The 22,405-nt window shown below is 33.8% G+C and overlaps 1 long non-coding RNA gene across 1 annotated transcript in view; it reads left to right on the plus strand.

Annotated features, from left to right (window-relative positions):
* LOC124904100 (uncharacterized) overlaps positions 1-16,019 on the plus strand; it is a 62,816-nt gene extending 46,797 nt beyond the window's left edge. The window contains exon 2 of the long non-coding RNA XR_007065977.1: positions 15,545-16,019. This is a non-coding gene — a long non-coding RNA (uncharacterized LOC124904100). The remainder of the gene's footprint in view (positions 1-15,544) is intronic.
* The last annotated feature ends 6,386 nt before the right edge of the window (positions 16,020-22,405 follow it).

Below are 22,405 nucleotides of genomic sequence, written 5' to 3' on the forward strand. Positions count from 1 at the left end.
ACTGTCAACAGCTGGTGGAAAACTCCCACCAAAAATTAGTTCCATAGTGAAACACTGCATTTGACTATTTCCAAGAATCCATAACCTTTATCTTGCTGATGATAGGGAATTGAGCACTCGGGATATTGAGATAAAATAATTTCCTAGGCGTTGCTCTAGGGGGGAAAATATATTTCCATCGGGCCCAGAGTTGTTGGAAAGAAAACAAAGATAAAATTTCCTAGTATATTCTTCTCACTCCTAAAATTTAAAAATCCACAGTAATTCTCTAACCCCTTACACTGTTTTATTTTGATTCAAAATATCTTATTTATATTATATTGCATATATGTATTTATTTGACTTATTATTGTTTTCTCGATAGAATATAAATTCTAGAAAAAGGAGAAACCTTGTCAGTTGGTTTACCATGGAATCTCCAGTACCCAGAATGGTGCATAATATATTGAAGATGCATAAAAAATACTTATTAAATAATGATGAGATAAATTCTGATCTAAATTATTCCTGCCATCACGTAAATGCACATGAACATTTAGCCTCCTGGTAATTTTTTATATACCATTGATGATGAGCATCTGGCTGTTAGAAAGTCATTTTTTTACAATTACTAAATTGTATGCTGATAAGAATTAAGTCCTATTAAGGACTTTTTGTATTTACGTTGGTGGCTAAGAGCTCAAGATCTGAAGTCAGAATGCTTCACTTACATATTAACTCCACTGCTAACTAGCTGGTGGCATTGAGCAAATCATCTCATGGAATGGATTTTGTCTGTGCCACCAACAAGATCTCCTTTTCTGAGCCAGTGTCCCCAGCTACTGTGAGCATTAGCCACTAATACCACAAAGCTGCCCCTTCTCTGTAGAACTGCCTTCAGATAAGTGAGAGCCATCTCACCTGATGGTTGAGATGGCGACATATAAGACTAGTGCTCATGCTTCAAATTAAGTCCATCTCTGGGCTGTAATTTATGCCCCAGAAGGCCACTAAGGATCATGTTAAAATTCATCTCTGGGCGACACCACATTCTTGATTGGCTCTTTTTTTTCCTTCCTTTCTTAATTTGTTCACCCCTGTTCTGAGAGCACTCCTCCATAAATTACATACACCAGAATCCTTGTTTCAGGCTCTCTTTCTATTCAATAAAACCTATATGACACATAACTTCTCCATGCCTTAGTTTTTGCCACTCTGAATTTGGGAGAAATAATAGGTTTACTTTTATTATAAATACATAATATCCCTAAATAAATGTAATAGGATATGATGATCATCACTTTTTTGTTCTCTATGTTTTCTTGCTTTTCTTCTAGGCTGTAGAATTTAACTTTTTTTTTTCATTGACTCTTTTCCACCTTAGTCTTTTTAAAAAAACACTCTTATTTGGATAATGATGATGCATCCAATGTTTCAACAATATGATAACCTTCCAATAGATTTAGACTTTTGCTATCATTGGGACCTTAACGTTGTCATTTCACAAAATTATTTTCTGAGTTCCCAACATAGGTAAATTGTATATCATTTCCTGTGTTCTCCAAGAAATGGTCTAGAACCAACCACCATTGGAGCATGAACTCATTATTAGAAAAGCGTATTACCCTGACAATTAGAAAAAAATACATATAGTGAGCTGCAGCCAAGAAAGTAATTACATTTATTTTTATCACTGGAAAACAATGAGTGGCAGAAATGTCTCTAGTGGGCTTGAACTACATATATACAGCAATGTCATAAAGTAATTCTTTATGTCCAGCTTGATTTATGTTCATAAGACCAAAGACATAATATGAGCATTATCGGAAAAATGAGTTTTAATAGCATGGAGTCTACAAGAGATTCCCCATAGTTGAATTTCTTAATATCTGCCTTTGGTCAGCTTTTGGAGATGTTAAAATTTGAGCCGCTCAGTGTGCTCTTTTTTGACTTCTTCTCAATGTAAACATTCAAATAAGGGAGCAACTGGATGTGTTTGGGGAGGTTTTTTTTTCCTACTTTTGTTTTATTTTTCAACAGATGTGAGACTACAGCCATCATCAAAATGTCAATATAAGCAATTTTGTTAGATCAATGGACAATAGGAATTTTAGATCCATATCACTACAATTGTAATACCATTTGTAATGTTACTTCTTATTAGAATTTCCTAGCAATCATCATTCATCTAATAGAGGGATTTTTTAAGAATCCAAGAAGAACAAAAATATTCATAAGCCAATAGAAGCAAATGGTATAAATGATATATATTTCACCACAAAAAATGAATAATGCACCACTTCCTAAATCATGTGCAGTGACTACATTTTATTTGAGCAATGAAGAGGCATTTTCCTTCCATTTTTTCTTTTGGAAAAAGTATTATGTGAGATTATGTTTTTTTTTATAATATGAAAATACTGAACTACTTAGAAGTAATAAGATACATTATGTTTTGGTTTAGGTTAAAATCGTGCAGTTATTGCTAAGATTAATTGGTAGATTAAGATGGAGAGCTAAATGAGAATTTAAGCATTTGCTGCTTATTTTGACACGTCTTTATTCTTAGGCCTCTGTACAAACTCTTATTCCCAGCCTTCTAAGTCAAAATCCTTTAAAAAGATCCTCTGCTTATCACATACAGTATTCACTTTGAGACTTAATCTATTTTTTCTTATATTATCATTTTAATAAAATATTGATAAAGCAGACACAGTTGATCTTATGACAGTCATCACATTTATGCTTTGCTTTCTGTTTTTAATTCCCCTTTTATATATTCTGTTTTTAAAAATTTTTGATTATAATGTTTTGTTTGTGGCTTTTTTCTGATAATTTGGAAAGCATTTTAATAGTTAAGTATAATTATATATAGTACATTATACATGATGCAGTTTATATTCTATATCTTTACACAATATATACTGATTTCTTCTATTAGCAATAAGATAAACAATATTTCCATTTAGACATTTACTTGCCACTCAAATCTTCAGTTATTTTTGTGTTCTATTTTATACCTTAACATATACATCTTTTGCATTATTGATCACTTTCAGATGATACCAGGCTAACCTAATAAATAAAACAAAAAATATTATAAATGTTCTCAACCCCAATTTTTCCCCCACCCCCTCCCAACTTGGTTTTCATTTCATTGTTTCTGTGCTGTTTGGTCTATATCTACTTTCTGTCTATAACTACAATTGTCCATTTGTTTTAACCTTGGGACTATAGTTAATTTGAATTCAGTGCTCACAGAGAGTATTTTTGACTTAAAAACACATTATTCATCTTTTTATTGACCAGTGTTCATTTTTCTTTCACTGGGCATGGTTAACTCTAGATATGATTCTCTAAACTGCTGTAGTGATGATTTGTCTTTGTTGGAAACCTTCCTAAAGACAAGCTGACACTCTGAGAATGGAAGTGTGTCAGATGAGCTGGAAAGAATCTGACCTGATATTGTTGAAAATTGATCCAACCCCACCCTAGGATTTTCTTATTTCTAAATTGTTGGTGATTTTTTTTTCGGTCTTTTTATTCAAACCAATTTGAGGTGTGATTTTTTTCTTTACATGCACTGATGTAATTATATTTTCTGGAATAAATTGTCAAGACTGTACAACTGATAATAAAAGACGATTTACAGATCTAGGTCTTTTGTTTCCAAAAGTTTATGTTCTTCACATTAATTAATAATATTACTCATTTAGATGGGATGTAATTATTTTAACAGAAGTATTTCAATTTATCTTACCAAAATACATCTTTATCCAGTAAAATACCACTTTTTACGTCTGTTCACATTTGCTTCAGTAGACCTTAAATTTCTTGTCAACTTTTTTATCACAGTTTGTTTTTTTCTTCTCGTGCATTTCCCCCAGAAAAGTCCTACAATTGCAAAATAGTGCTTTATTTTGTTTTCCAGGGAGACATATTCTCCTATCGTCATTTTAGCTCTAAAATAAACTTACTGAAAGAATGTGCATAAAGCAAGTGGTATACGAAACTCAGATTTTAAAGATGTTTGTTTGCATTTCTTGTTTATGAAAGTGTTATTCTGGAGAAATAGACAGTAGTGCTTAGTCCGTTTACTTTTTAAATATTTTCATGTTAATATGACTAAAAACAATACAGAAGTTTATGGTTATTTCAGATATTTGATAAGACAGTTCTTTCTAGACATGCTAGTTTTAATGAAGGCGGCAGTGAAAAAAATCCTACTAATTTTTTAAGTTAGGAAAAAGCCCATTATCTGTATTTTGTTGTAATCCTTTGTAAGATGAGAAAAATTTAATAATTTAAGCGTATCTTTTAACTTTTAAGATATCCTGGACAAATATATAAATCCTGGACAAGATTTATATATTGGTTTTTCCTTTTCAAATCACATAAAGTATAGAACACTTAAGTAGCCCACGAATTGGGATATCAAAGGTAGAGAAATGAAATTTATTTACTGGCTAAATGGACTCATCAACAATAAGCAAACATGTACAAACTTAACATTAGCATCTCTTTGGACATCACAATGTCTTAAGATTTATATATCTTAAGGAGGGTCATTGGACCCTCCTTTCATAGTTATGATTAGGTAAATGATTTTATCACAAATATTAAAAAGGAATAACTCTGGTAAAATTTATATGAATTAGGAAAATAATTTACAGAATGCAGGAAAATATGGTCTGGCATTGTGAACGTGAATTTTTTTATCTTTTAAATTTAAAAAGACTTTGCTTTCTCTTAGCCTCTTCATCTCAGTTTTATGGGTTTGGAAGGGCACATATGTTCTTTTCTATCATGAGGAAATTTAACTTTGTCTTGTTTTTCCTAAGCTTTTTAAATATGTAGGACAATAACATTTGTTGCTATGAGCTTTGAAATGAAGATTTATACCCTGCTTTTGGAGGTCAGAATATATCACCCAAGCTCTTATCAAAAGCCAACAAATGGAAACTCTATAGCAACAATAAAACTGAACCTTCATTATTCTCTTGATAAAAAAAAGGTATATATGTTCTCTGCACTTAATAATTTCACTGTTCTACTAATTGCAGTGTCCAACTCTTGTAATAATCTGATACAGTGGCTAAATTTTTATAGGTAGTTTTAGAAAGTAATTATGAGCAAATGTGTGAATATCAATATACACTCAATATATGGAACCAAATACATTTTAGTCATATTTCTATTAAAATAGCAATTGTTTTAGAAAAAATTAAAATACTCTTCCTATTCTCCTAATATATCATCTCCATGTTTTCACTAGTGTTATTATTATTCTGATTTTGAGATATTAAAATAAATGTTATACAGCCAGATGATAAATTGTTTTATATTTTTCATCCACAAATTTTTGTTGTAATAATATGATATATGTACAGATGATTTATGAGACTTATAGGATGTGACGGCAAATAGTGAATTCATCATCCCACACACTGTAAGAGCTATGGTGATTGGTGAGACAGGAGATTTTTTTAAAGGGAGGTAGAACAATGATTTAAATTTTAAAACTTAGAACTAAGAGATCTGTCTGGAAAGGTGGACTGGCAAGAGTAATCCACTTGGAACAGGGCTATGTACAGTAGGTGGGAGAAGCAAAGAATGAATCTCTCTACTAGGATCTGGGCTTCAAAAGAACTGAATAATTAGGACTACATTTACATTTGAAATAAAAAATACTCTCAATAAAATATTTCATATTGTATGCTAAAATTCAAAAGACTGACCATACCAATTGTTGGCAAAGATGTGGAATAACTGTAACTCTCATTCACTGCTGCTGGGAATGTTAACAGATACAACTACATTGGAGAGCCATTTGATGGTTATCTAAATATTTAAAAATTAGTTTGCAATATAACCCAGCCATTGCATTCCTTGGTATTTACCCAAGGGAAAGCATGTGTCCATATATACCTAAATTTATAAGGATCCCAAACTGGCAGCAATACATTTGCGCATTAACAGGTAAATGGATAATACACACACACACATGCACACACACACATACATACATACACACACACACGAGAATATCATTCAACAATGAAAAACAATGAACTATTAACAAATACAACAACATGATTGTATCTCAGAACAATTGTGCCAAGTGAAAGAAGCAGACAATGAAAGGAGTACAAACTGTATAATTCTATTTATAGAAAATTCTAGGATATTCAGACTAAAATATAGGGACAGAAGAGAGATTACTGAATACCTGGGGGACTTGGGGGAAAAGGGATAGTGAGGTTTATAATGGGGCATGAATAAAGGTTTAGGGCTAATGTATATGTTTATTGTCTTGATTATGATCAGTGATTTACAAGTCAAAATTGATCAAATTGCAGACTTTAAATATGTGTAGTTAATCACATCTCAATGAAGCTATTAAAAAATTAGGAACGTCGTTGCCACTAGGAGAGAGGGAGTGATTTATAATAGGGAAGGGACCCATGGAAGCTTCTGGAATACAGAAATGTTCTGTTCCTTGACTTGGGTGTAAGCTACACAGATTTTCTTTTCTGCAGTCCATTAAACTGAATATGACACTATTTTATGTTTATGCAATATTTATTTCTTTATTATATTTCAAAATTTTTAAAGTGTGTGTATGTGTATATACATGTATTTGGAAACTATATATTTTTTTGAAAAGAGGTAATTATCCTTAAGACGCATTCATTTTATTACCTCTCCTTTAATAACAGCCAGTTTAGGTCTTAGTAGTAGCATGCTTGTTTGACTATAAATTTTATGCAGCTTAAGTTTTCCTAGGATTTTGAAAGTACTTTCTACATTCACAGTCACATTCCTATGCTGTCTTTAAAAGATAAATGAGAAAACCATAAATACATCATATCTCTGTGAGCCTCATTGGTGGTCCATGCATCATGGAAATGTCATCTATTCTGGTAGTGCTGCTAGCAACTTGTGGGTGGGTCGATGCACTGGGAATAGTGCATCATTTTATTTTATTTTTATGGCTTTATTATACTCTATGGCCATTAGGTGCAATGCCTCTGTTGTCCCCTGGGGTACAATATTATATTTATTGTATGCATTTATCTTGTCTCTGATGATTCATTTTCTTTTCCATCCAAGATGAGTTTCCTTTTTGCCTGCTGCGTTATCTAGGAGTCCTTCCATTCAATTGCTCAAAATGCTTTATCATGGTGTGCAATATATATGAAGAGTCTGGGGAAGAAGGTGGGCGTTGTCAAATCTATAAATGAATCCAAGAAAATGTCCTCAGCAGCCAAGAGAACTATTGTAATTTGTATACCACAGAAATGGAGAAGTAGTACAGAATTTAGAAAGAAAATTAAAAATAGAACTGCCATATGATCCAGCAATTCCACTTTTGGGTATACATACAAAGGAAATAAAATCACTATCTGAAAGAGATACCTGGGCTTCCACATTAATTACATAATTATTCACAAAAGCCACAATACGGAGTAAACTTAAATGTTCATCAAGGGAAGAATGGATAAAGAAAATGCAGTGTGTGTGTGTGTGTGTGTGTGTGCACGTGCACACACGTGCGTGTGTGTATGCAATGGAATAAATACTTTTATCCTTTACAAAGAAGAAAATCCTGACATTGTTAACAACATGGAGGAGGCTGGAGGACATTACGTTATTCGAGAAATAGGCCAACACAGAAGACAGGTACTACATGACCTCATTTGTATGTGGAATCTTAAAAAGTCTAATTCATGAAAAGAAAGTAGAATGGTGAGTGCCAGAGGCTGGCAAAGAGCTGGAGGGACATGGGGAGATGTTAGTCAAAGGCGTCAAAGTTTCATTTATGCAGGGTGAATAAGGTCTGGAGATCTATTCACATAGTGACAGTATGGTCACTAGTGTTAGTAATACTGTATCGTATATTTGAAAATTGCTGAGAGTGATCTTAAATGTTATTACTGCAAAATTTAAGTATGTGAAGGGATGAATGTTCATTAATTTTATTTCATCATTTCACAATATATACATGTTGCAAAACATCACATTGTACCCCATAAATATATATAACTTTTGTTAATTGCAACTTAAGAAACCTGAAAATGGGCCAGGTGTGGTGGCTCGTGCTTGTAATCCCAACACTTCGGGAGGCCAAGGCAAGGGAATCGCTTGAGCCCAGGAGTTCAAGACCAGCCTGGACAACATGGCAAAACCCATCTCTCCAAAAAATAAAAAAAAATAAAAAAATAAAAACTATGCAGGCATGGTGGTGCATGCCTGTAGTCCCATCTACTCAGGAGGCTGAGACAGGAAGACCACCTGAGCCTGAAGGTTGAGGCTGCAGTGAGCCATAATCATGCCACTCCACTCCAGCCTGGGTGACAGAGTGAGACCCTATCTCAAAAACCAAACAAAAAACCTGAAAACAATTTTAAAAGAAAGAGAAAATATATTTATGTCACTATAAAAAATGGTGTCCATGGGGAAAATGAGAACTGAATCCTAATGTTAGGTAGGAAAAATAAAATGGATAAAAGAATCCCATTGAAACTGTAACAGGGGACTGTCACTGGTCTCTGGAACTAGAGAATACTTACAGTTTTTCCTCAGAGTGGTCCCTACGTCTTATGGATACGTCATTATTTCCATTTTAAAGTAGGGATGTTAAGCCAGAGTCTTAATGCTAAGTCCCAGGCAACAGAGTTAATTAGAATCAAAGAGGGGGTGTGGACTTTTGTCTCACATATTTTGTACACACTATAAGGATGTTAGTCATAATAGAACATGGCATCATGTGGCCTAATGAGGAGGACATAAATCTACATGAGGTTCTCTGAGGAACAGGCACCTGCAGGCTGAGAACCGACATGGACATTTCAAATGGTAACATTTCTCCTTTGGCATATTCCTAAATCCATAAACTCTGAAGACGTGGTCAAAAAAAAAATGTCATTCTGCAGTGAACTTAGTTTTCTCCTTCTTTACCTTTATTCTATGGATGCTTTTCACTTATCCTTCATGCAGTTGTCCTTCCATTTCTCTTTTTCTGGACCACATTTGAAACACAGTTAAATAGAATGTCTGCTTCAGGTTTGCAAATTATACTTCATTTAAAGTATATGTTAAAGTTGAGTAATCTTTCTATACCTGCGCATACATACTCCCCACAACACACACACATTGTCTTTATCCTTTCATGTGCTCAAGAGCACTCATGTTTATTCCATATCTTGGCTAATGTGAATAATGCTACGATGAACATGGAGGTGCAGATATCTCTTCAAGTTAGTGATTTTATTTCTTTAGGACACACACCAAGCAGCAGAATTGCTGGATTGTATGGCGGTTCAATTTCTAATTTTTTGAGAAATCTTTATACTGTTCTTCATAATGGCTGTACCAGTATTCAGTCTTTTAGAAAAAGACGGAAATTCCGACATTCGTGACAACATGAATAAAGCTGGAGGACCTTATATTAAGTGAAATAAACCAGGTACAGGAAGACAAATACTGTAGGATCTCACTTACATGTGCAATCTAAAGTAGTTTAACTCATAGAAAACAGAGGGTAGAATGGGGGGTGCCAGAGGCTGAGGGGTGGGGGAAAAGGGGACGTGTTGGGTCAAAGGTATAAACTTGCACTAACAAGATGAATAAGTTCTGGGAACTTAGCTTACAAAGTAGTGACTATAGTTAATAATAGTGTATTGTATAATTGAATTTTGCTAGGAGATTCTATTTTAAATATTCTTACCCAAAGAAAAGTTAACTGTAAGGTGATGGATATGTTAATTAGCTTTATTATGTTAATCATTAAAAAATATATACATATACTGAAACATCACCTTGTACACCCTGAATATATAGTCTACAATTTTTATTTGTCAATTATACCTTAATAACACTGAATAAAAAAACAAAAGATAAAAATATATGTTAAGCCAATTAAGTAGATAAACCCATTTTTGTTTATATAGCAACACAGTTTTCAGAGAAAGTTTTCACTGACCCATTGAAATATAGTAATTCACTTCTTTTTTTTTTATGAGGGAAACAACTCACATAAAGGATTATGGATAATCTCTCTAAAATTAGGCTGCTTCTAATACTCTGCAAATGTTAAGGTGTTTGTTTTTGTTTTTGGAAGGTGGTGTGATTGATAGGCTACATCAATTTTGAGAATTCTCAATAACTCTTAGGAATTATCTTAGATGTAAATTAATTGCTCTGAAATAGCAATACACATGACTGAAAATTTCAGGGCAATATGAATTAAAGAGGTAAATGTGTGCACTAGTTCGTTCTTATCATAGGCATTGAAAAACAAATCAATTATGTTTGATGAGATTGACATTTGATGCCAATTACCTTTATATTATTAAACTGAGAAACAAAGAAAATGATACATCTTTGTGTCTTTGTGATAATCCTAGAGGTATTCATAGGTGCTGGGCAAATCTAAATATTTTTGTTTTCAAGAATTATGTAATATATGTTATAACATGCAGTAAATTATATTTCTTTAGATATATTTAGCTATTCTTTGCAAAAGTTTGCTCATGTGCCTCACAAGTTTAGGTAGAATTCCTATGCCACGTTTTCTACTTGGAAATTTGAGTACACCTAAATTTTTTGTTAAGATTATGCAAAGGTCCAAACTATCCATTCAATAAGTGGGTTAAATATTCCCACCCAATATACTTCCTGGGAATATTGCAGACCTTTTGTTTTGTTTTGAAAATAATTAAAGTGATTCCACTATCTGTAAAATATCTTCTGGAAGGTGCTGGATTTTCCTCTCTTTCCCATAGCTTGTTAGCAATACTACAGTTTGGCAATAGATTTTGTCTTTTCTAGGGAATGAGGCATTGGGGAAAACAGAAATTCTTTCTAGATTACATTATTTTCATTATTTTGATAAAATGAGTCTGATGGTTTTTTGCCAGCAATTGAAGGTACCAGTGTTCAGGGGAGTATTCCCATACATCTCCAGAGGAAACTCATCTTTAAGGAAGGGATGTTTGATGACTTTCATATACTATCTTGTCTAGGAAACCCTAGACCGACATAAGCACAGTAGAATCATGGAGAACAGAAGTTTCTACCTAATCAATCAATTGTTGTGACCAAACACATTGAAATGCTATCTTAAAACTTGCTTATTATCTACTGAACACTACCTACATTATTTCAAACCCTTGAAACTTTGCAGCAGGGCCAGTCTTCATATCCCAATTTCACGGATGAACAAACTAAGGTTGAGAGAGATTATGTAATTGTTAAAAGAGCTGGGCTTTGCTTCCAGGTCAGTCTGACCCCATAGCACATCCTCATTCCAGTACATTGTTCCTATTGCTTTTCATTCTAAAAGCAATATAAGGAAGCTATTTTAAGGATGGGTGAACAGGTCACTAGATCTGAGGCTCTCTCTACATTCAACTGTGGGTGGAAGGGTAAACAGATTAATAACATAATCAACTAATACACCTTTAAAGTCAGCATCTCAAAAGCAGAAACATCTTAAGTGGGATCTGAAGGAATGGCTGCCACTTTCTCAGTTCTTTCATAAATGTTCTTTCTACATCGGTATCTTAATTCTTTTTAAACACAATGATTGTAATAATGATGGTAATGATGTTGAAACTGCATTTTTATCCAAATTCAGGCAGTTGAAGCTTTTGAAATTGGCATTGATGCATAAGAAATATTGTAATGGTTTCATGACACACATGTCTAAAAGTTTTCTTCAATTAAGTAATAATAGAAGCAATGGGTACTCACTCAATGATAAATAAACCGAAACGTGTAAAATAAAATATAAAACTCAAAAGAATCGCATGCTGTCATTTATGCCAAATAAAGTATAAAAATTTGAAGAGCTTTACTTTTAACTTATTTCTAAAAAATTACATTTTGCTGCAAGGCTGACATAGATTTATATTTACCATGACTTTTGAGGCCCAACCTAAGAAAATGATGAATGTTAGGGCAGTCAAGCCTATGAAATTGTTTATCTGTGAAAGATTGTGTCTCAGTCCTAGTCTAGGCATTGTTTTCATTTTCACATTTTTTAAAGGTCTTACTATTTTTCGAAGTCATGTTTTTATCCTCTGCCAAATAACAGGCCTGTTGTTGTTTTACTCAGTTTTCTCTTTATAATTGCAGAAACTTTGAAAATAAAAAGGGTAATTATTTTCTGATGTCTAACAAGTGATTGACATACTACAAGAAAAATGAAAAATACTTTTTAAAAAAACTTTATAGACCGGAGATGGGATTTCAGAATCAAACGTGCTTGTGGATTTGGTTTTCATTGATGGGTTTTGCTCTTAGATTGTCCTTTTTCCACTCACAGTTCCAGGATTTCTTTCCAAAAATATCTTGTGAGGTCCAAATGGTAGCCAGAATTCTGTCTTTGTTTGATGAGCCTGTACATTTCTTAATCCAACACTTCTCTTGAAAAAGAAATACAGAAAGTATACTGTAGTTAATGGTAGTGGGGTATCCTACATTTTGTGGGGAAAATGGGAAGCTTGCCTGTCTGTTACTCTTTTTCATCCCTTGGCTGAAAGAAAAACAATCTAAACCCAAAGAACAAAAGAGAGCTTAGGAATCAGAACTTAGACCTGGGCTCTGGAGCCAGACTACTTCTTAGCTTTTTTTCCTGTGTGTCATTTTGTTTTTATACTATGTAAGTATATTTGTAAATAATAATCCAAGACTTTCAAAAGTACAGCAGTTCTGTAAAACAAATGTTCCTACAGTCAAAACATAACTTTCTCTTTTTATTGAGTAAGGCTCTGTGCACATCTGCTTATCAGCAGTCACTTTCTCAATGTTAGTTTCAAATGTACTCTGCGCCTTCTGTCTTTTCATCTGCACTGAATGCCTGTGTGTTCCTACGTTCTTAACTTCTGCATTATTTTCCTGTACTTCCTCCTCTATTTTTTTCTAAGAATGTAGTTGTTTGTAGTTAATGGTGCTTATAATTTGGAAACTCAAAATAGTAATATTGCTGATCAGCAACTAATTACTCTGAAGCTTGAAAAGTTTAATTAAATCACACATTCCTTGGAGGGTCCTGAGTCCTGGCTACTTACTTTCAAAGAGGCTCCTTGCTCCCTGCTGAGCTGATGGGATTTCAGTGACAACCTTCACTAAGCCTGAACTTATTGAATGCCTACACTGAATGTAATACTGCATGAGTAATTGAGGATGGTACCAAGTTATAGCTCATTGTCCTTATGCACCTGAATCTTATAGTCTTATAAACCTTCCCAGGGGTTGGGTAGAAGGAAGACTTATTCAGTTCAAGAGTGCATCATCATAATAATACAAAGAAGGAAGAGAAGGAGAAAAATAAATGTGGATTCTAATTCTGGAGAAATTTTTAGGAAAAAATATTCCTGAGGTCTGAGATAAACAAGGAGGTCTTCATTTACGAGTTGAAATTCCAAAAAGACATCAAAGGGAGGATGAGATTTGCATAGGAAAAGGAATAGAAATCATGTTAGTCCCATAGTTCATGTATCCACCTTCTCCTCTCTGTATTCAATCTACAAATATTTATTGCTATTATGTGCAGATCAGAAAACAAAGTCCTCACCCTAGGGAATCAGCAACAAAACTTATTGAGAATGCAAAGAAGAAAAACTGTTATATGCTAGAATTAAAGAAGTACAAAGATTTCTGAGAGCATAGAGAAAGAAGTAGACAGAAAACTTGCAGAAGACTTAATACTGAATATTTGAGGCAAGAGGAACCATGTGACTGAAACTATGTTTATTTAAAATATAAATTAAAGAACCAAGGCACAATTGCAGAACTTATGTGGAGTCAAAGATAATGAGAAAATCTTGGTTTTATTTTTGGTGCAGTAATTTTTTTAAGTGTTGAAAATTTTGTTAACGTTAAAGAGCTTTGCACTTACAAGACACTAAGATACAGGAGTGATGCTTCATAAAGAAGTTACCTGTCAGGGTTTGGGCATTAGTTTAGAAGTTGTGGAGCTTTGATTTATTTTGGTTAAATACTTTAAGAAATCACAATCTTGATCCAGGACTGATAAAAGTATTGCTAAATTTGAAAGATGCCTCTTCAAGATTAGAGTCATATATTCAGACATAGAACATTAGAAGATCCTGTATGGAAAATACATTCTAGTCTATTCTTACTAGTGGAAGAGCCCTAAGCCACAGTTCCCATTCATCGAGGTTCAATGCATCAAGTACTTCTCGAAGTGCACTTACATTTAGTAGCTGATTAAATTTTTCTGACAACAGAATTATTGTTACTATTATTTTTATCATCATCATCCCATTTTTATAAATCAGAAAGGGAACTGGGCCAGAGGGTAGTTAAGCAGTTTTCTTAAAGACTTACAGCTATTAGGTTGGTGCAAAAGCAATTGCGGTTTTGCCATTAGTAATTGCTTTGCCATTACTATGGTATTTTATTTTGCTGTTACTAATGCAAAAATCACAATTACTTTTGCACCAAACTAATGCTGATTTTGAGAGCCAGACCTGGAGTGTGGGGATACTAGAGCTAGTGCTTGAGTTCTAAGTTGTTCTGCTGCAACGGCTTGGACTTGAAAGCAGAGAGGAGGGGAGGAGGAGCAAAAAGACAGAGATCTCACCTTTGTGGCAGAGATAGAAGAAAGATAATATTTAGAAGTTTAGCTGTGCATTAAGAATGTCGTAGCCTCCTTTTTTCATTTTCTAAAGAAACTTGAAATTAAGATTTGAATTGCTTCCAAATATAAATGTGCTAGACAATTGTATTCCTGAAAGACAAGAAATGCTGAGTCCAAAGAATAACTGAGAAGTTCAGCTTTTATGATTTCTGTGTCCTGTAATTAGCTGCTTAGTAAGTGATTTCTAACCTTCAAGAAATATAGACCCTCCAATGACTGACAACTGTTAAAGTATGTGTTCTTAAAAAGTTAAATTGTTACATATACAGTAAACACATATAAAAGATTTCATTCTACTCATTAATTAATGATGAAAATACTAAAAGGTTAAAACTGGTTCAAATGAGAACGTGATTCGTGGAATGCATATTTTCTAACAGAGAAAGTTAATTTGCATTGCAATGAACAGGAAACATTTGCATTGCTTCTGATTTCCCACAGCTTAACTTCTACCCCTTCAAAATGGTCAAATAGCTAATAATGGCAAATCAATCACACATGCACACCTTTGTAGAATCAGACAATCCCTAGGGAGGGGCCTCAAGACAATGCCCAGATCTCCACTGAAAGGGCACCCAGTAGTCTCTCATGCCCACCTATTTCCAAGACCTGGAAAATTTTTCTGACATCATAAGACTCTTAACAATTAGACTAAATTACAGGAAGAAAGGATAAGAAGAAACTAAACTACTATGAAGACTATATAGCTATAGACCAGCACATATATTATTGGGGAAAAAAAAAGTGTAACAAAGTTTTATTTAAAATGTTGGTCTTAAACCATTATGTTCTACAATATTGAGCTGTGGTTTTTAGATCTAAGACAACTTCCCTTCCCCCATGTATCATCCAGCTCTGATTTTTTTTTTAATCTCTCTTTTCTGTATCTAACAGGAGACATTGTCAAAACATCAAGCTTTTCTATCATGCAGGTCCAGATAAAGAGGGTTGGAGTGGATATGAAAGGATTCCACTGAGGTTGGGATGAAAGAAAAAGACGATCTAGAAATTTCAAGGAACTCTGCTATGTAAATTTACCTGAACATTACAAGATAAACCTGAGTGTCTAAGAGACTATCCTAATCTCACAGACATTTTAACCTGTGTAAACCCTCGATTTGCTGGAATGAACTTCAGTCATGCATTTGAGAACCCCCACTTTAAATATCGTAAAAATGTCATAATAATTTCAGATAAAAGGTTTCCATTTTTCTCCTTATGTTTATAAAACAAAATTAAAGACTTGTTTTTTCCTCTTTTTCATTTCAACCAACAAGGTTTTAAGGCCTGAAGAGCAATTATATTTATACTTTGCCATGTTTGGTTGAAAGTTTAAACTTGAAATAAAGTTGAGATTTATTGCACTTATGTTCTGCTGCAGTGTAATTGTTATTCACTTTCTGGAAGCCAAACAGAATCTATATCATGTTTTTGGTTTTTTACAAAAGCTTGATTCTATTTTTCTTCATTCACACGAACCCGACACATAAGTCCATCTAGAAGGTTTATAAACATTAATGTATAATTCAAAGTTTATTCTTACTTTTAACTGCTTGGGTGGTCAAGAATAAGGTTGATTCTTTTTTCTGTCTACACTAAGAAAGTATCTTTCACAAAGGATTTTGTCCTATTTGAAATGGCGATGGAGAGCTTATTTTGTTTGGAATTGGCAGTTTTTCTCCAGAGGGGTTACATTTCTAAAGTTATATGGCCATCCAAAAAAGATTATTACACTAGTCCAACATTGGCTGATTAAATTCTACAAAATCAGGAAATTAGGGTATATCACCAATATATTTTTTTAAAAAAGAAAAATATCAGTGTGCTAATTGCTTTTATTAAAAAGAAAAGAAAAAAACTAAAACTGAGGTTGCTTCTGTCAGAAAGGCTGGCGCCATGGTTGGGGAGGAAGTGGAAGAGAAAGGAAACTTATTGCATTTTATATAAGCCCTCACACTTATGTTTTTTTTTAATTTGTTTGTTTGAGACAGAGTCTCGCTGTGTCGCACAGGCTGGAGTGCAGTGCTGCGATCTCAGCTCACTGCAACCTCTGCCTCCCAGGTTCAAGCGATTCTCCTGCCTCAGCCTCCCAAGTAGCTGGGACTACAGGCATCTGCCACCATGCTCGATTAATTTTTTTTGTATTTTTAGTAGAGACGGGGTTTCACCATGTTTGCCAGGCTGGTCTTGAACTCCTGACCTCGTGATCTATCCACCTCAGTTTCCCAAAGTGCTGGGATTACAGATGTGAGCCACTGCACCCGGCCCCTCACACTTATTTTTAAAAATATATGTACACATTGATTTTATGTAATACTAATAAAGTTAGCATAATAACTACATAAAAATAATGATAAAACTACATAAAAAGAACATTTTACTGTCAAGTAAGGGTGTCATGATATTTAAGTGAGAACTGCAAGGTGCAAAAATAGAAATATTTTAAATAACCCAACTATAGAAAAACAAGTGTGTGTGTGTGTGTGTGTGTGTGTAAGTGTGTGATAAAATCTAGAGGCATACATGGCAGACTTCCAACATTCTGTATATGAAAAGCAGGATTGGCAGAAGCAGAGGAGAAATCGAAGGAAGGATTTATTTAATAGTCTATGTTGTATGAGTATTTCCATAATGAGAATTAACACAAAGTTTTCGTTATTTGCCGGACCCCCTTCTTAGTACTTTGCATGTATTCATGCATTTGCTAATGATTCACTCAATAATGAGTTAATTTACAGTTAATACCATTAAAAAACATTACACTGTAATCCCAGCACTTTGAGGGCTGAGGTGGGTGGATCACCTGAGGTCAGGAGTTTGCGACCAGCCTGGCCAACATGGTGAAACCCCGTCTCTACTAAAAATACAAAAAAAATTTAGCCAGGTGTGGTGACGTGCACCTGTAATCCCAGCTACTTGGGAGGCTGAGGCAGGAGAATCACTTGAACCTGGGAGGCAGGGGTTGCAGTGCGCCAAGATCACACCACCGCACTGCAGCCTGGGCAACAGAGCAAGACTCTATCTGGAAAAAAAAAAATTACCTATGGAACTTTTAAAGAAACATAAAGATCTCACCAAAATGTGGAAATTGTATGAGGTTTTTCTTCTTATTTTTTTTTTTAATCCCTGTGAGTATCCTTTTCAAATGTCTCTGTGCAGCTCTTGAGTTGCGTTACTATTGAGTATTGACATCTGCAATTTAGAGTTTTTATCATCTCGATGGAGGAAAGACAATTTTAAGAAATCCTCAGAAAGGGTTAAAGTTAAGTTGGTATTTCATGGCTATTTTATTCCATTTAATTTGATGTTTAACTGATGCAGCTAAACCAGTGGTTCTCAAAGTGTGGTCCCAATCTAGTAACATCAACATCACCTCAAGAATTTGTTGAAGGGCAAATAATCGTTGAGCTCCACTCCAGATCTACTGAATCTTAAACTTTGGAAGTAGGGCCCAGCAATCTTGTCATGAACAAACTCTCTGTATGAATCTGATGCAGGCTCAAGTTTGAAAACCACTGATTTAGAACAAGAAACATAATGTATTTATACTCCCTTATGTTTCTCTATGAGAAATTATATCAAGAAATAATAGGAAATAACAGTTTCTATTCAATAAAATTCCCCAATAATTTATTTGTGATTTATATTTCTATGCAAATAACTCCCAATGCTAAGATTTCTGTAATGCTTGTGCAGATGGCTTTTCTGTATCTGAACCAACTGTATCACAACAACGTCTTCCATTACCTATCTATGATCTATCTATCTATCTATCTATCTATCTATCTATCTATCTATCTAAGAAAGAGAGGGTTAAATTCTGCTCTTCTGGTATGCATTTTGGATTAGTAAATCATTTTTATTGACATGGCAAATAACATGATGACTGATGGACAATAGTGTCCATTTTTAAGCAATGTGAAAATCACTGCAAAAAACAGGTTACTTGCCATTCAAAGACATCAGTGAAAAGTTTTAGGCAAAGATAATGTGGATCTTAGTATGAACTTATATTTCTCCTTTAAGCAAAACATGAACAGAATTATATCCAGCAATGTCCCATTTCTTTATGTAGTTAAATGAATTCTCCTTGTTATTGTTTTGCTGCATGATAATTTAAGAAGTTGCCTCTGCTTTCTCTGTCTAAAACTATCATTTTTAAACTTTATTTTTAGTTGCTGCAACTTTCCTTTAATTATGCATTTTGGAAGCTGTAGTGGGTTGAACAGTGTCCCCTAAAATTCATGTCTTCTTGGAGCTTTAGAATGTGGCCTTATTTGGAAACAGGGCCTTTGCCAATTAAAGTGAGTTCACACTGGGTAAGTGTGGGTCCTAAATCCAAGACTGGTGTCTTTATAAGAAGAGTAGAGGACACACAGAGAAGAAGCCCATGCAAAAACAGTGACAGAGATTGGAAAGGTGCAACTAGGAGCCAAAGAAAGCCAAAGATTGCCAGGATCGACCAGAAGCTAAGAAGAGGCAGGGAAGAATTCTTCCCTACAGCCTTCAGAGGGAGTGTGGGCCCACCAACACCTTGATTTCGGATTCTACAATCCACGACTATGAGTGAATAAATTTCTGTTGTCTTAAGCCACTAAGTTTGTTGTAATTTGCTATGGCAACCCTAGGAAAACAATACAGATGCTGAAAAAAGGTAATAATAAGAATAAATTCTACAAAAGAGGAGCTTCTCTGGACTCCGGAGCCAGGTCTAGGAGTCTGAAAGTATCTCCAAGGAACTCTCAGGATTTCTCAGAAAACAACAGCTCCAGAAAAAGTGGGAACAATGCCCTTGAGCTTTCATTATTTGCTTTCAGCACGTCAGACACTACTTTTCCAAAACCTTAACAAAACACTTTAAAAGAAAAAATGGTTTTTTCTATTTTTACTTCCAAAGATAGAGTGCTTTCTTTCTCAAATCATTCTTAGCTAAACACCAGTTCCACAAGATTTTAACAGGAAGTCAATGAGAAGGAGAAAAAAAAGTTTTTAAGATCCCATTTCATGCTAATTCCCTCTCTCAGAGATTCTTATGCACATTGAGGGCCTAAAGGATTCTGAGGAAGAAGCTAGTTTATCTTTGGCTAACATAGGTTATACACTTTTGGAGAAATATGGAATGAAATTTGGGTAAACTCTGGAGAATGGAAATTAGACTGGAGGTTAGATGACTACATTTCTAGTGCTAGCTTGGCCACACATGACCACACAACCTATTCTACTCAAAACCTCTGTTTTCTTCTCTAAAGACAAGAGAATACCTTCTCTCTCCTTGTCACATAATTGTAGAAAGTTCAGCAATCATAGTTACATTGCTTTACTTTATAAAGATGCTTTAATCCACTTACAATACCTAGAATCCAGAATATTGATAATATCTATATTACTTATCTAAGAAAGCTGATACAAAATAACTGATTTACATAAAAGCACCTTGGAAAGTAAAAGGAAATATTATATAGATAGAAAATCAAATTTACTATTTGATTTACTTGATTCTTTTAATTTATTGATACTATGTTGGGAAGTTAAGAGTTTCTGTTTATAGATAATACAATTAAAAAAATCAATCTATACCTCCATTCCAATTCTGTATAAACGTGATGGCACTGCTGATGATAACATCTTTACCTTGTCAGTAATGTTTATAGAAGTGGGGACTCTTACAGTGTTGTTATTTTGTTTGTTTGTTTCTTTGTTTCACATCTTCCAAAGCATAGAAAAATGGGGGTATTTCCATTGTGTTTTAATTTTCATCCCTTTACATTTTATACTTTGTATTTTGCTAAGTGTATGTAACAGACTACTGGTTTTTAAGACTAGGAATAATAGCTACATTTCTGTGTTTGGGGAATATTAATGAGCACAAAGGGCAAACAAATCACTAGAAATTCTGAAAAACATTGTAAATTCTCCATGTTTACATGTTTAATAAAAATTATATGTTTATATAACAAATCCTATAACTTAGGCAGATGTATATACGTATATATACATAAAATATTGTATATGTATGTGCATGTGTGTGTGTGTATATATATGTATATACACACACAATGTTATTCTAGCCTACCATTGATCTGTGAAAAGAGATTGTTCACCACATCCTTCATATCACATTATAAACTGAACATTAAAGTAAAGGTATCTGACTCATAACAAGTGGACTATATTAAAGCAAAGTGATTTCTGCTAAGGATTTGACATACCAATAAATTGATATTCAAACAGATTAAATGTATACACATACACATATTGATCTAAGAGAATATTTAGTCTAATTATATTTGTTGATTGACAGATATTTCTCCAAAACAAATACAAGTCTCTCTATCTGCTGAAAATGCTAATGCTGATGCTAATTAAAGCATGCACATGTACATATGTGCACACATACACAACCAAATTATTGAAAAAGTCTAAACTATGTGAAGGAAGTGGTTTTACAAAGAGAAAGATCAATTGCCTACACAATTCAAATTTTCTAGTGAATTTTTTAATTTGTGGTTTACTTTATTCATTTTGGAGTTACTTTTTACCTGAAAAATGAACTGAATATTTATTGCAGTTCTATACAGACCAGAGTTTAGAAAAACCCACAATATCCAGTTTCTAATGTTCTTTTTCATAATATATGCAAAGAATGACTTATTACTTGTCACTTACAAAAATATACATTGCCTCTAATGTTGGGAATTTCATAAAACTCTATAAAATACTGCATGTCCATATGTGGACAACGTGTAAAATAGACTGGATATTTTGCCACGGTTTGCAGTATATATTTTGGAGCTCCATGCCAACTTTCCATTCTCTTTACCAAAGAAGTTGTCTAAATTGTTAATGCAGAATATTTTAAACATAGAATTTTATCCAAATCTGTTTTCCCTTAATATACTTTTTAAAGGGGAAAAGTTCAGAATATTCCAATCAATTCACGTACTTGATCTAATTTATGCACTGAGGAAATCAAAACTGTATGTCATTTGACCATTTTACACTTGTTTCTAGTGAGATTACTAATAGGTTTATTATTTAATTTATAATCCAAATTAGAGTAAAGGGAGAAAATAGGTTATGGAAAACCAGTAATCATTGCAGTACTTGTTTATTAAGAGCCAATTTTGTACACCTGGAAATTGAATTAGAAAGACTCAAAGAAAATAGAGTCAAATAATTAACCCCTTCCTTCTTATAAGAATAAATGGTAACAAGAGATTGGTAACCTAGAAGTATTTTAAGGAACATGGGCTGCTTTTTGAGGAATTGGTTGATGCCATCTTTCCAGAGTTGAATATTGGCCATGCAGAAATGATGGGCTAAAGGCTAAAAACGGATTTCCACCACTAGTTGCCATTCCAAATGAGATGCTATGTTTCCAAAGAGTCTTCCATGGAAAGAAAAAGCAAGTTAGTGAAAATAAGAATTTCCATGTGTTTATGAAAGAACAACACGTTCTTTCCAGTAGGACTGGTAAAACTCCCCCTCCTCACCAAATACTATGAACAAAAAAACAATGATCAAAATTGTGATTAAAAAGTTAAAAAAAAAATCAAGAATCACAACCAACACTGTGAACCTTATTGAAAGCTGGAATATCAAGCTTAGCTCTGTCTGAAAATTTAAATAAGCGCAGATTTTTTTTAAGACAACTTAAAAGTTTTGTGTTTATCTGTATTTTATTTTTGTTTTGTATCCTCTGCCTAAAATAAAAGCAACATTCACATACTTTGGAAACAGCTGACGCTTCTGCAC

The sequence above is a fragment of the Homo sapiens genome, chromosome 17 (assembly GCF_000001405.40).
Source record: "Homo sapiens chromosome 17, GRCh38.p14 Primary Assembly".
NCBI lineage: Eukaryota > Metazoa > Chordata > Mammalia > Primates > Hominidae > Homo > Homo sapiens.